Genomic DNA, 13976 nt, shown 5'->3' on the forward strand with positions numbered 1-13976 from the left:
CTGTAATTTTCCTTTTCATGTGTCAGTCACTACATTATACTTTGAGCTCCAGGAGGTTAAGAACTTACACTTATTAATTTTTTATATCCCCAGGGTCTAGCCCAAGATCTGCTTATAGTCAGCCCTCGGAAAAATGCATATCAAATAAATCAGTGAATATACCAAAGGTTCTCTATGCTAAAGGAAGCATTACACCAAAGTGAAATTGATTCTAGATGCTAGTCCCATATCTGTTTTTAAAGGTTAAAAAAAATGGTCTTTGCAGTCAGACGTAAAGGGGATTCAAATCCCTCCTCTACAGCTATCTTATGTGATCACAGGCAAGAAGCTCCCAACTCTATGCCTGAGTTTCCTTATCCCTAAACAGGACAATGCCTGCCTCACAACACTGTCATGGATTAGATAAGAAGTTGAATATATACACTGTATAGCACGGGGTCTGATAACAAATGAATAGCCATGATTATTACCATTAACTAGCTGTAATATTCTGGGCCAGTCCCTTTCTCTCCCTGGGTCTTCCTGGAACCCACTCCCTCTATATAATGAGGGTTTTCACAAGTATCCCTGAGGTTACCCCAAGCTCCATCACTGTAGAACTTTACAGTAGTCAAAATTTATAGTATCAGCCATTCAGCTCTGAAATTAACCCTGCTTGGGTATAATGAACTCTAATAGTTTCTTGGGCGTAAGCTTTGCTCACTCTAACCAAAGTCAAATTCATCAACCACACTGGACCTCGCTAAGGGCAAGAGCTAGTTCTTTTATTCTCCTATTCATTTCTGGCTCAGGACTGGGCACAGAGAAGGTACGCCCATCAACTTGTCAGTAGAAGAAGCAGTGGAAAGGAGGCCTGTCTCCTAGGAGCCAGCACAGACAACAGGGGCAGGGCATGCAGACTCCCAATCACATCGTGTGCTCCTAATTTAAATGACTTTGTGAACTGATTTTGCAATCCCGTGTTTATTCCCAGCTCATTCTTATTAATATCTTGTTAACATCTTAATTTGAACTGTGGCCACTGCATTTCACACAAAGAGCACACAGGAGTATATTTAAATTACTTTGGATTCTCCCAGAGAGGAGGTGTCTTTCTCCCACATTTGCACATTTAAAATTTATTTTTGACATCTTAATATGATTATTTTTATTCTTGTAAAGTAACGGAGTAAAAAAAGAAAAATGACTGGTTGAGTTTCTTCTCCCAACATTAAAAACAGGGAAAATAGCCAACTCTTTGGAAGCCAGTTGTTTGGAGTAATATTTGAGGTCTTGCTGAGTGAAATAAATAGACACTTCTGAAGAATCGAGCAACAGAGAATTGTGGAGAAACAGTGTATTCGGGCCACTCAGTGCACACAGCCAGCTTTCCTGCTCCAGGGCAATGAAGATCTACAGTAAGTCACCCAGCATAGGGGAGGATCATGAACCCTGAGGTCACCCACAGCTGAATTCAACCTCCTCCCTTCCAGTTGTATGATCCAGACAATTTCTTCACATCTACAAGATTCGTTTTCCCACTTGCAAAATGAAAATAACGATATAGCACACTTCACGGTGATGTCAAGAGAATTTTTAAAAATAATAATATATATACACACATAGAGAATATTCAATAAATATAAATTCTGTCTATGATGAGAGCATGGTACAAGTCAAATGAAGCTACTTACATCTTTTTATCCTATCTTGTTCCACAAAAAATTTAAGATAAATTGTACTGATACTTCTAATATAACAAAGATAAATTAATGCAAAAAAAAAGGAAAGAAAATGAGGCAAGAAAAGGTAAAGGTGAGATAGGAAGAGGGATTGAAGAAATAAGATTGTTTTACAAAATTCACGGAGTCCTGTGGCCATATCATAGGTGTGTGACAAGGTTCAACAGTTGTTAAGTAACCTGTCACTCAAGAAAAGCCCAGCTTTTCCTGACTGAAAATATTTTTTTTCAAAGGTGTTTTATTCCTTGTGGAAAATGAGATCTAGGTGACAAAGAAACTAATTTGCCTTCCCTCTTCAGCATTTATTTTACTATGTGACCTTGCACAAATCATGTCACCACTCTGGACTCTCATGTTCCCATCTATACACACAGAAGATTGGATGAGATGAACCCCAAAGCCCTTTGTAGCCTCTACATTTTATAACTTGATTCTGTTCTGCAAAACGTCTACAGCATCCTCCTCCAAGCATTTGCAATTCATGTGACAATCTTATTGAAATTCTTTGCTATCCTCTAACAAAACTAGTTTTTCATTTGAAAATGTAGTTTTATTTCTTTCAACCCTGTCATGGGCCTCCTGACAGAACTTAAGGAACCAACATTCTCAGTGTAATAGCCACTTATTACTTAAGCCAACCTTACAATAGAACCAATAAAAGCAATCAATTGCTAACTTGAGCAGATCTGCATTTACTCAGAGTGTGGGTATTTTATTCTCAGTATTCTGTTCATTATATTCAATTTTTTAGTTTGTTGACCTTTCATTATATACTTAATAGGCAATTTTTCAATAATTTCCTCTGTTCTCATTGGGACTGCCCAAGGGCCCGAGAAACGCAACTGGAGGAAGCAGCTGATGAAGAGGCTCCTGCGCCCAGCTTGTGAAGATCTGTTGGGAAGAATGTGACTCTGGTCTGGCTCTTTAGCCGTGGTTTCTTGATTTGTATTCTAGATCATAGCAGAAACTCAGCCAAACCGACTTTTTATCTGGGTGAGAGGGCTGGATGGGGAGAAGAGATTTTTCTGGATATTAGGAACAATCTTTCCTCTTCAAGATCTACCTCATCCACCACTTCTTTTCTGTCTCCTCTGAGTATGCTCTCTTGTAAATCTCCACCTTTTCTCAGCAGGAAAAGCTATGTGCCCCCTCCCTGCCCCTTACCCCACATTGCCTTCTCCATATTCTCTGCACTCCTGCAGACCCTGTGTGCTGCTGCTCATGGCTGCTCCTCAGACAGGGCAGGTAACTCACCCAAGAACACACAGCCACTAAGATACAGAGTTGAAGTTCAAATTCCAGTTTATAACTGCAAAGCCAGCAACTTAATCCTCACTATTAAACTGAATCTCCAGTAGAATTCTTTCTCCTCCCGGGTTCAAGCGATTCTCCTGCCTCAGCCTCCTGAGTAGCTGGGACTACAGGCATACGCCACCAAGCCCAGCTAATTTTTGTATTTTTAGTGGAGACGGGGTTTCACTATGTTGGCTAGGATGGTCTTGATTTCCTGACCTGGTGATCTGCCCACCTGGGCCTCCCAAAGTGCTGGGATTACAGGCTTGAGCCATCACACCAGGCCTCAAGTAGAATTCTATACTCTACTCCTCCATGAAAACATTTCAAATTTCTCTATTAAAATATCTTTGTGTGTGTGTGTATGTGTGTGTGTATGTGTGTGTATGTGTGTGTGTATGTGTGTGTGTGTGTGTCTCCCAGTTCGTCTACTAGGCCAGTACAGATTAGAATCATCTGGGGATCTTTTAAAACTTAGAAAGCCCAGCGTACACCTCAAACCAATTAAATCAGAATCTCTGGGAATAGGATACAGCAGTCACGATTTTCTTAAGCTCCTTAGGCAGTTCAATGTGCAGAAAAGTTCTGGAAGCACTAGTTTATATTACTGTTACAACTTTTGGCATAACTCAACCCTGTATTATATTCAGTAATTTACCTCTGTTTATAAATTGTAAGCTACTTAAGCAGAATTTTTTTTTGAGACAGGGTCCCCCATCCTGGAGTATAGTGGCACAATCATAGTTCACTGCAGCCTCTGACTCCTGGGATCAACTGATTCTCCCATCGCAGCCTCCCAAGTAACTAACATTACAAGTGGACACCACCATACTCAGCTATTTTTTTTTTTTTTTTTTGGTAGAGACAGGGTCTCACTAAGCTGCCTAGGCTGCTCTAGAACTCCTGGCCTCAAGTGATCCTCCTGCCTTGGCCTCCAAAAGTGTTGAGAATACAGGCATGAACCACTGCACTTGGCCCAGAAACCTTATTTTCTTCAAATTTGTGTTCCCCACAACACTAGGAAAATAGAGTAGCACAGTGAATATTATTAAATGATCATGTTCGTTCTACAAATTAAGTGAAATAGGCAAATTAATAAGATTTCAAATGACAGAATGAGATATGCCAGATGTTTGGGTGTGGGAGCCCTGAGGTGGAAATTGTGATTGCTTAGGGTAAAAATAGAGCATGCTAATAAGATCCTTAAATTTCTCCAATCACAAGAAAAGTAAACTGAGAATGATGAGTCTTTGTTTTTAATTCTGCTAAGGAAATAGGTCTAGGCTGCCACAGAAGTTGAATGAGTTACACTTTAGGAATAAACTCTTGATGACCCCAGAATGGAAAACAATGACCAAAGAAAGCCACAAAATCATCTTCTCAGCAGAAGTTTGAGAAAGGATGAGACCACAGTTTGTTTTCAGTTCTTAACTTAAAGGTGGGATAAAACTTCCACTAGGAACTATAAATAATTGTTTTTTTTTGTTTTTTTTTGTTTTTTGTTTTTGTTTTTTTGTTTTTGCTGGTAATGTGGTGAGTTTCTGATTCTTTCTGGAGATTACAAAACAATCCATTTATTAAGTCCAGGATATAAATTCAGACGTTCAGATTGGTCATAAGACAGTTCGAGAAAGCAAAAGGCAGATTGTCCAATCTGGCTGCTCCAGGTGCCAGGAGTTATTAATTATGCCTGTTCTAATAGCAAGAGCTGGGAAGCAGCAAACTCAAAACATGTGGGGAAAACAAAAAATTAGATGGTGGTTTGCCTTAATGAGAGGAAGTAAGAGGCAGCAGCCACAGCACCAGGCTCAGTACACTGAGTACAAATCCTGCCAGCAACATATTTTAGCCACAACTGGGCATGATCACCATAGTCGCTACAGGGATCATGGAGTCCTAGCGGGCTCTCCAACATCTGTGCAGTAATCAGTGAGGTCACTTTCTTCTTTGTGCTTTTCTAGGGTGGGTGAGGGAGGATTCAAGAAGTCAAGAGGGACTAATCAGAATTTGGTGTTCGGTAGATCATAGATTATGAGAGCTGGATGGTACATTACAGACTAAATAGTCCAACCCTGCCCATTCCCACATATGAATAAACTAAGTTCTAGAGTAGCTAAGTGACATAACCCATGTCACCCAACAATGGCAGGGCAAAACCAAAGTTTTCTCTATTCTTTTTCTCTCCGGTTAATAGCAGACTCCTTTTCTTCCTACTTAAGAAACTGGCTTTCCTTAGACTTTTGCAAGCTCTTTAAATAGCGAGGAGCCTCACCTTGGCAGAGGCCTAGGTATTTCACTTTCCATCTTTAAACATGGCCCTGGATTAGCTCTGCTTGATGAGTAGCCATCTCCTATCCTGCTTAGAACTCTTCTCCTGGTTTAAGCCTCAGAAATTCAGGCTCTGGGATGCTATGACATTTCTGCCAAATGGTATATGATAGCTTCCACTTGGTAGGACAGTCATCATTTTACCAATGAGCCATAGATAGGCTTGGTTCATCAAAGGAGACCATCAGACTTACCTGTGGGTGTCGTTCCCTGACTTACTCATCAGCCTGCTATCTAGGAGGTCTCTAGAGCCAAAGTCTTGGGGGGTTGTGCTTCCCTCTGACCCACTGGACTCTGAGCATATGGAGGCCAAGATCAAGGTCTTACTCATCTTCATTTCCTGCTTGTTGCTTGGATGATGTCTACTAAATTTTAATAGATGAATGGGCCAAACACTTATAGGAAGAAATTTACAGACTGGAACTCACTCAGTGAGCAGCAACCAGGACTGTGAGAAGATGAACATTTGAGTAGGATAAGGGATGCCTTAAAAAGAAGAGATATTCAACTTGGAGAAGAAAATGTTCACTGGGGAAATGATCATCATCTTCAAATAACAAAAGGGTGTCTTTGGGAAGATGAGAAGTAGGAGAAGGCAACTCTGGAAAGGAGGACTTCAGAGGAACATAAGAATCTGCTTTGGGAACAACCCATATTTACTGAGGATCCTCTCTTGACAGAGATATGGAAAGGAGGGGACAATCAGTGGGGAAACAGCGTGGCCCAAGACTTCTAACTTTAAGGAGCCTCTGCTACCTTAGAATAGAGAAGAACTGGTAGCACTTTAATTGGAGGCAACATTGAAGGTAAGGAGAAACTATTTGCAGTAAATTGAAATGGAGGCAGGAGTAGAAAAGAAAGAGGTTTGAGGATAGAACAAGCATGCTTCATCCTCCTAGGATTCCTCTTTTTATAATAACAATACTGATTATTAAGTGCTTCTATTTACCAAGCTCTGTATCATAATTTTAGCCTCACTGATGATAACCCTGATACAGCAACAATCAGAAAGCCCCACTTCATACAAGTTGAACTTGAAAAAAATAAAGGAAATTGATTTTAAAAAAACATGTTGGCAAGCTTTCTGTGACACTGGCATGCTCGTGTGTGGAACACAAACTGAACGCAAATGGAAACAATCCCTTTGGAGAGCTGTTTGGCAATACCTTTCAAGGTCATAAAACTCAGCTAATAATCTCAGTCCCAGGGATTTACTCTAAGTAAAACGCCTCTTAAAAAAAAAAAAAAAAAAAGAAAAAAAAAACCCTATATGGTCAAGGTGCTTTAAAATAGCAAAACCTGGAAATAATCCAAATTTCCAACAATTTAGGAATGGTTAAATAATTTATGATATATTAACTCCATGAAAAATTATGTAGCCATTAAAATGATAAATGAGAAGACTCTGTGGCAAAATGAAAGACATATAACAAATAATGGGCAAGCATGAGAGTGGAATGCAAAATTGTACACATGCTCTGATTATCACTGTAAAAACACTTATGGCTAGAAATTGAGAGGGACAATAGGGGTATATAAAAAAATTATTGTTTTGTGAGATTTTGTGCATAATCATTGTACACTTTATAAAATGAAAACACAGAAGAACTCTTGCCGTCGCTGGGGAAATTTGAGAATCACAGCATGTAAGTTAGAAAGCATTGTATGGGTCCTTGGCGAGCGCTCTCTTTGTACGGTTAAGGAAACCAAAGCCCTGAGGAAAGTAGCTTGTCTGTCCCACAGCTAGTTAGCAGCAGGGTTGAGGCTAGAACACAGAAGCACAGAGTAGAGGATCCTTGGAAGATTACATTGAACAGCCGGATAATGTGGGAAACACACAGGGTGAAGAGGGCAAGAGAGAAAACAGGATTGCCTGTCATAAAAATTCTCAGATGTGAGCAGCAAATTCAGTCAGTGAAGAACACACCCCATTCTCCGTCTATTGAAAACAGCTACTGTCCACTCACTGAGTGGGCTGTGGGTCTGAAAAGAGAGGATCTGGTTTTCTGCCTTTGAGGGTCATCTTCCCTCACCTTCTCTCTTTCCCCATTACCACCTCCTGAGGTCAAGTTCTTGGCAATTATTCTCCAAACTCTCTGTGGGGCCAGTGATGCCCCAGTTGCTGCGCTAGGACTGGAGACGCAATGTTGACTAAGACACACATAGCCCTTGCTCTAATGGTGCTTTCACTTTAGGATTGAGACAGACAATTAGCTTGCTAACAAATAAATAAAATGATTTAATAAGGCAATGTGTACTACCTTAACAAACAAAACAGGGATTTGTGATGGGGACAGACAGTATGGGGCATGGAGGCTTATAAGCAAGTGGGTAACATGGTCTGACATATGTTTGAAAGCTTACTCTGGCTGACTTTATTTCTAGGATAATTGCAACAGTCTCTGTCTCTTCTTACTATGGCCAAGGAGGTCTTAACAAAATGTAAATTTGACGTGACACTGCTCCATCTGAAAACTTTTTAAGATTCCTTGTCAGCCCCAAGCTAAAGCTCAGACATTCAGCACAGCTATGGAAATTTTCATGCTAGGCTTCTATACCACCTTCACCCCCGCCACAGTGCAGGTCTTGCACTCTGCACCACAGCCCTCTTCAGGAGTCCCAGCCAGCTGCACACTCCCCTCAGGCTGAGCCTTTGAGATGCTGTTCAGAATCTGACCCTTTCCTCCTTCCTTGTTTATAGAACTCTTTCTCTCCCTTTAAGGTTTTGTTTGAATGTTACCTCTCCCCTCACTCTTCCAGGCACAGCAGATTAGTCACCGCTTTCTCTGTGCTCATAACATGCTTTGTTTACACTTGTATCAGGATATACCACATTGAATCATAATTATGTGTTTGTGTATGCATGTAGGTATAATAAACTCTTAGAGAGCAGAAGCCATATCTTATTTATGTTTTTATGTCTAGAACTAAGTGCAAGCTGGGCACCTAGCTTTAGTGAATATTTAATGAATGAGTTGGTAATAGATCATTGGATAAAAGGATGGATAGGTGGATGAATGAATTACTAAGCAAATAAATACAATCTATCCTCATTTTAAAAGCAAGGCAAATATGATCTGTTTCCTTATCTGTGAAAAGAATCACATAAGGTGATTTTTAAGGTTACTTCCAGCTCCAGGGTCTGATAGTCAATAAATCACAACTGGTTATTGCCGTTGGAATCAGAAAGCTTTCTTGGCTTGGCTGCTTGAGATATCTCAAAACGCTCCCAGGTTCATATTAAGGACTGAAAAGTCTGTGGATCCTTAACTTGCAAGCCTGCTGCACTGGGATAAATAAAACCTGGGCCTGGGCTGGGTGTTCTCCTGTCCCAATTGGCAACACTCACCATACCCAACATATCTGGTGAGGGAAGAAGGCTCGAGCAAAACAGGTTTTGAGCCAGCTCAGCAACAGCACAGCTATACATTCCTGTAAATTTCCAGGCCCATGTGAAGGCCGGGACAGGCGTGAATATTCCGCTATGTCACTCAGCTCCCGTGGTTATTTTTGTTCACCCCATCATCTTGTGGATGTGGCTTCAGGACAGACCTGTATAGATTTAGGTCAGAGGTCAGGAGAGAAATAATTCCTAATTCAGCTTTCAGTGGAGGAGAAAAGAGTGAGGACACACCATTCCCTCTTATGAGAATAAAGGTGAGACTGACCTGAGATTCCATTCATGCAAGAAGGCCTGTCTTACACCACTACAGGCCTAGTCCTCTGTTAGGAGAATATGGAGAGAGATAAAGTGGTTCCTGTCTTCAAGGAGTTTATACTCTAGTAAGAGAGATTGCTAATGTGCCTAAGGTAAGTTATTTGGGGCACAGAGAGGACAGTCCATGTGGATGAAGGTTGGAAGGTTGAAGGAAGAGGGAAGGAATACTTTATAAAGGAGGAAGTGTCTTCAACAGAGAGAAATGGAGATTGACTATGACAGTCAGAAAAAAATGCTTGAACGAGGGTAAGGAGAAGTCAAAGTACAGAGCAGTGGGGGAAGGTAAGCAGAGACTTGGGCACAGCAGAGGATGGGTAAGAGAAGGAAGGGAGGTATTTCACAATGTTGAAAGATGAAGGACAGGAGGGGTCAGCCGGGTCTTAGAGACCAGCCTCATCATTATTAAAATAAAATATTATCTAGTGCCAGTTATTGCCAAACAGGAAACCCTGTTCCTTCCTCTGAGTGCCAATCTCCAGGGTTTAGAATGCACCTGGAAAGCAATGGGGGTCTCTGGAGGCTCTTGAGAGCAGGGTGGGGTAGAAAGTGTTGAGACTTGTTCCCTGCCTGCTTCCCTTTCTTACCTGGATGCCAAGTGGTGGAATTGGCTTGGCAGGGACTTGAGCCTCATGGAGGGTTGGACACGTGACCTCTCTGATACTCTCCTAAGAGTGTCTGTGATCAACTCTGTGCTTATAGTCAACACAAGGCATTTGCAGAAAATAGAAAAACGTGAGTATGCATGTGCATGGACATACACACCCAGATGTCTCTGAAAATAAGTCTCCTGGAGTTAATAAAGATGTGATATAGAAGGCCAGATATCAAAAAGCACCCTTCTGGCAGCAGTTATAGGAGTTGGTCCCTCACAGAGATTTCATGCGATAGTCCCCTCTGCACTCTGGAAGGTAATGGAAATCCCAGCCCTCTCTTTTCTCATGTACAAACGGCAGATTTCCAGGCCCATGATCAAAGGCAGAAGGAGAGCTCAGAGAATGGCAAGAGGAAAAGAGAACAATCAGAATCTGAAACTAAGGCAGAGAAAACATTTATTAACCAACAAAGAAGCTCATTTTCGAGAAACTGAGTCCTTTCAAAAATGCAATCAGCATTAAAATCACTAATTTCCTTCTTCCTCTTCCTTCAGAGGGAGGAGTTTACAGTAAATTAATTTGGAAGTTAAGTGAGTACAAGTTTATCTTTAAAAGTATGTAAGAGACAGAACTAGGGATGAATCAAGCTTCAAAACATAAGCAAAGTAAAGGACGAAGCTAGGAATTTAAACCTGTCTTGGTGACTTTTTAAAAAGTTACTCTTGCAGATGTGGGGAGTTGTGTGACTCTTTGCTATTTTTAAAAAGTTTTCATTTTGACTGAATCATGGGGACTTCATTAATCCTTTACCCTGTGAAGTGTTTTGGAGTCATAGCCAGGGCTTTTGTACAGAAGGGGACTTTGATGACCTTCAAACCGTATTGATAGGGTAAGTTCCTAGAGTCCCCGAGCAAACAGGCCATTTCTCCTCCAGCTCTCTGTTTCCTGCTGTGCAGAAACTCTGCATAAAGGTAAGAGTTGGTCTGCTAAAAAGATCCCTGGTCTTAGCCCCAGAATATTTGGGTTCTAGTATCAACTCTAACCCCTCACAGACATGAGGCTATAGTGACATTCCCTCTCTGGGCCTTAATTATCTTTTACAGAAAATGATGAAATTAGGCATATTTTCTTCGTGGTTCCTGTCAGAACTAATGCTCTATGAATTGAATTTGTTCAGACACCAAATTGGCTAGTTAAGAATTCGATTCTTTTCTTCTTTCCCCTGATGTTCTTGAGGAAAAAAATAATAACAAAATAATGACTTACTCTATACCAGGCACTATGATAATATGTTTATGCTTATTATTTCACTTGCCAACAAACTGGTATGAAGGAAGAAATGATTCAACTCAACTGCAGCAGCAGTTCCAGCGATCTGGTTGGGAGTTAATACTGATGCAGCCCAATTGTCCCCACCTCCTGCATTTCTACCTCAAATCCTTGAAAATGACAAGTCGCGATCTTAACAATGGTATTAGGTGCTAATAGATCCTGAAGTACCTTATGGATCATAAAAAAAAAAGCTTAAATCATACCCACTATCATTTTAGTGATTAGCAAAGTGTGTTGTAATTTACTTATTTTGAAACCAAGAATCAGTAAATGATATGGAGGGTAACCCAATGAACCAGAATTTTCCATTGCTCAGAATGCCCCATTTCCTAGCCATTTTGGATAAACAGGAATTTACTATGGCATTAGAATAATAATAGCCTACAAGGACTAGATTCTGGTAGCTGTAGCCTTGCCAACAGTCCAGCAATGTGTCCACTGCAGAGATCACTGTCCACTCCAGCCGGGTATCACCAGGGCCCAATCAGACTCCTTTTCAGAAATCATGGGCGGTGTTTCCATGGAGCTCTGCCCGAAAAGAGGTGATCTAAATCTTGCATGAGAGATGTACATCAACAGGGAGCTTTGCCTAGAACACTGTGACCTAAAAAATCATATTAAGGAACTCAGAATGCAGAGTCAGTTTCACAGACACCAAGTGACCTTGTGCAAGGCACCTCACGTATTGCCTCGCCTTCTTGACACCCCCTAATGAATGGTGACAGCGACACGCCCCAGCCGGCTGGGGCAGGCATTCTGATTTTCACTGCTCTGTTTCTTTTTCTTTCTCTCTCTCTCTCTGTTTTTTTGTTTTCGTTTTTTTTTTTTTTTTTTTTTTTTTTTTTTTTTTTTTTTAAGGCAGCCTGCTCCTTATATTAATCATCTTGCTGTTTGTTTAGTTCTGGGAAGGCAAGCACTGATTCACAAAGGAAAATCTCGCCTAGTGGTCAGATTGAATAGTATCTTTGCTACATTTCGGTTTGAAGATACCACCCAATTTATTTTTGATATTTCTTATATAAGGTTGCACATGATACATTTCTTGTGGAGTTTAGGGCTAGAAAGGGCTGGGTCCCCCTTGATCCATAGCTATTCTTCCTTTACTAGAGGAAGAGGGCTGTGAAATGCAATGCATGTTCCTTTCTTGTCTAAGCTGCTGGGAAGCTCAAAATCACATCATATGCTTGATTAAAATTATTCTTATTCTGTGTTTTTTTCTTCGAGCTGTCCTTTCATGACAAGGTCTTAATCTTTCATCTGTGTTTTAATGATCCTGTAATTTCTGTGACTAACAGTATATGTTACTTCAAATCCTTTTTTAAAGTAAGTGGCATGCAAATAAATCAATAATGCGGACAACTATGTTTTATAAAAACTTTGCAGATAAGAAAATCGGAAAGATTAAACCTTATTCTATGATGAAGTCTGAAATTTCATTTCTAACACAAATTAATCATTAATATTTAAAAGCTTATACATAGTAATAGCTATGAACCTTTGCATATCCCTTACCATTTATAAGGCAAACGCTTTCACATATGTGATCTCATTTTGTAATTAGCATTCACACTTTACAGATGAGGAAAGTGAGGCTTAGTGAGATTAAGTTAGTAAACTCAGATCTTCTGACCCTAGGCCAAGTCTCGAGTTGTTCTCCCCACCCCGCCCCCAACATCACTTTGCCTCTCATTGTCTTCTCATTTAAATCAGCATTCTTCTCACTACCTCTAGACAAACGCTTTGTTTTTTTAATGTGTCCATCAGAATTAAGCAAAAAAGCCATTTCAAGTGTTTATTTCTCTTACTGGGAGGGTATGCAAAAAGTTTGGAAACCACTGATTTAAGGTCTAAAGGGTCAAGCTTGAAGCTTGGAGTGGTCACTTCTAGAAGATCTGAACTCCCTGTCATCCTGGGGTTCCCTGTGTCAGTTTAATGGGGCAGGGGGAGACATCCAGTCTCTAACATACTTTTCTTTTCTAAATAAATGTAATGCCTAAGTGACACACAGATACCTGTAATACCTGTTGACACCAAATCAACAGATTGCTGGGAGAGTCAAGGAGAAGAAAGTTTCGTTACTCCCTAGGGCTTGTTGGTGAGAAAACACATGTGAGTCTTTAAATTGAAAGTGTCAGAGACGTGTTGTTCCACCAAGGGAGGAGTGGGGGGCAGTTGGCCAGCTTACTTTAACACGACTCTGAAGATAAGTGCTTGGTAAGCACTGTATTTGTATTTTTGCTTTTTGCCACTTCAGGCAACCTACCTACTGCCAATTACAAGTTGAAAAGCTTTGGAGATAGTTTGTATAGAAGGTCCTCTGCCTACAGAAACTTCTGGGAGGCTGAGTACCCTAAAAGAGATGTGCATCCGATGAGGTTGTGTCTGATTCTCCTCCAGGTTTGGACAGACCCAATTCTAGTTTCCCATTAGGGCCCAGATCCTGCCCACAGTCTGGGGGCTAGAGAGGCTAATCTCAAAGGGCTAGAAATGAGTCAGTTTCCACGCTCAACATCAGGCGTGTGGCTTCCTGAAGCACAGACGAGGAAGCGTTGAATTTCAAAGAGCAAATTTTTTTTTTCTTTGCATACCATATCCGGAACTGAAACCACCAATTCATTTCACTTAAGATTTTGCACTATACTCAGATCATCAATAACATCCCAGAGATAAGATACCAAGATTTTCTCAATGCAGACATTCTGTCTTCCTCTCTTTCTGTCTTTTGGTGATGACTGTTATTGAATTCTTCTTCTTTTTCTTCTTCTTTTTGAGTCCTAACAACACAAAATTCGGAAGCCTTTGTTTTTTTCATAGGTGTCTGTGAGTACTAGAAGTCAAATGTCCAAAAATCTGCTGAGACTTTCACCTTGCTCATAACTTTCTGCTTTCCCTTGCTAGTCAGGTGTGTGTAAGATCACAGATCCAGCATTCCACTCAAGGGGGTAACTAGATTTGCTGAGGGCTCGCTGAGGTAACCAGTCACCTCACTAA

General features: G+C 40.7%; 1 annotated feature.

Annotated features, from left to right (window-relative positions):
• Positions 13530-13709: an enhancer, noted in NCBI's record as "active region_20972". NCBI's record gives its function as "activates an Ori minimal core promoter by ATAC-STARR-seq in GM12878 lymphoblastoid cells {active_cell/tissue: GM12878}" and the evidence as "EXISTENCE:reporter gene assay evidence [ECO:0000049][PMID:35858748]".

The sequence above is a fragment of the Homo sapiens genome, chromosome 3 (genome assembly GCF_000001405.40).
Source record: "Homo sapiens chromosome 3, GRCh38.p14 Primary Assembly".
NCBI classification, from domain to species: domain Eukaryota; kingdom Metazoa; phylum Chordata; class Mammalia; order Primates; family Hominidae; genus Homo; species Homo sapiens.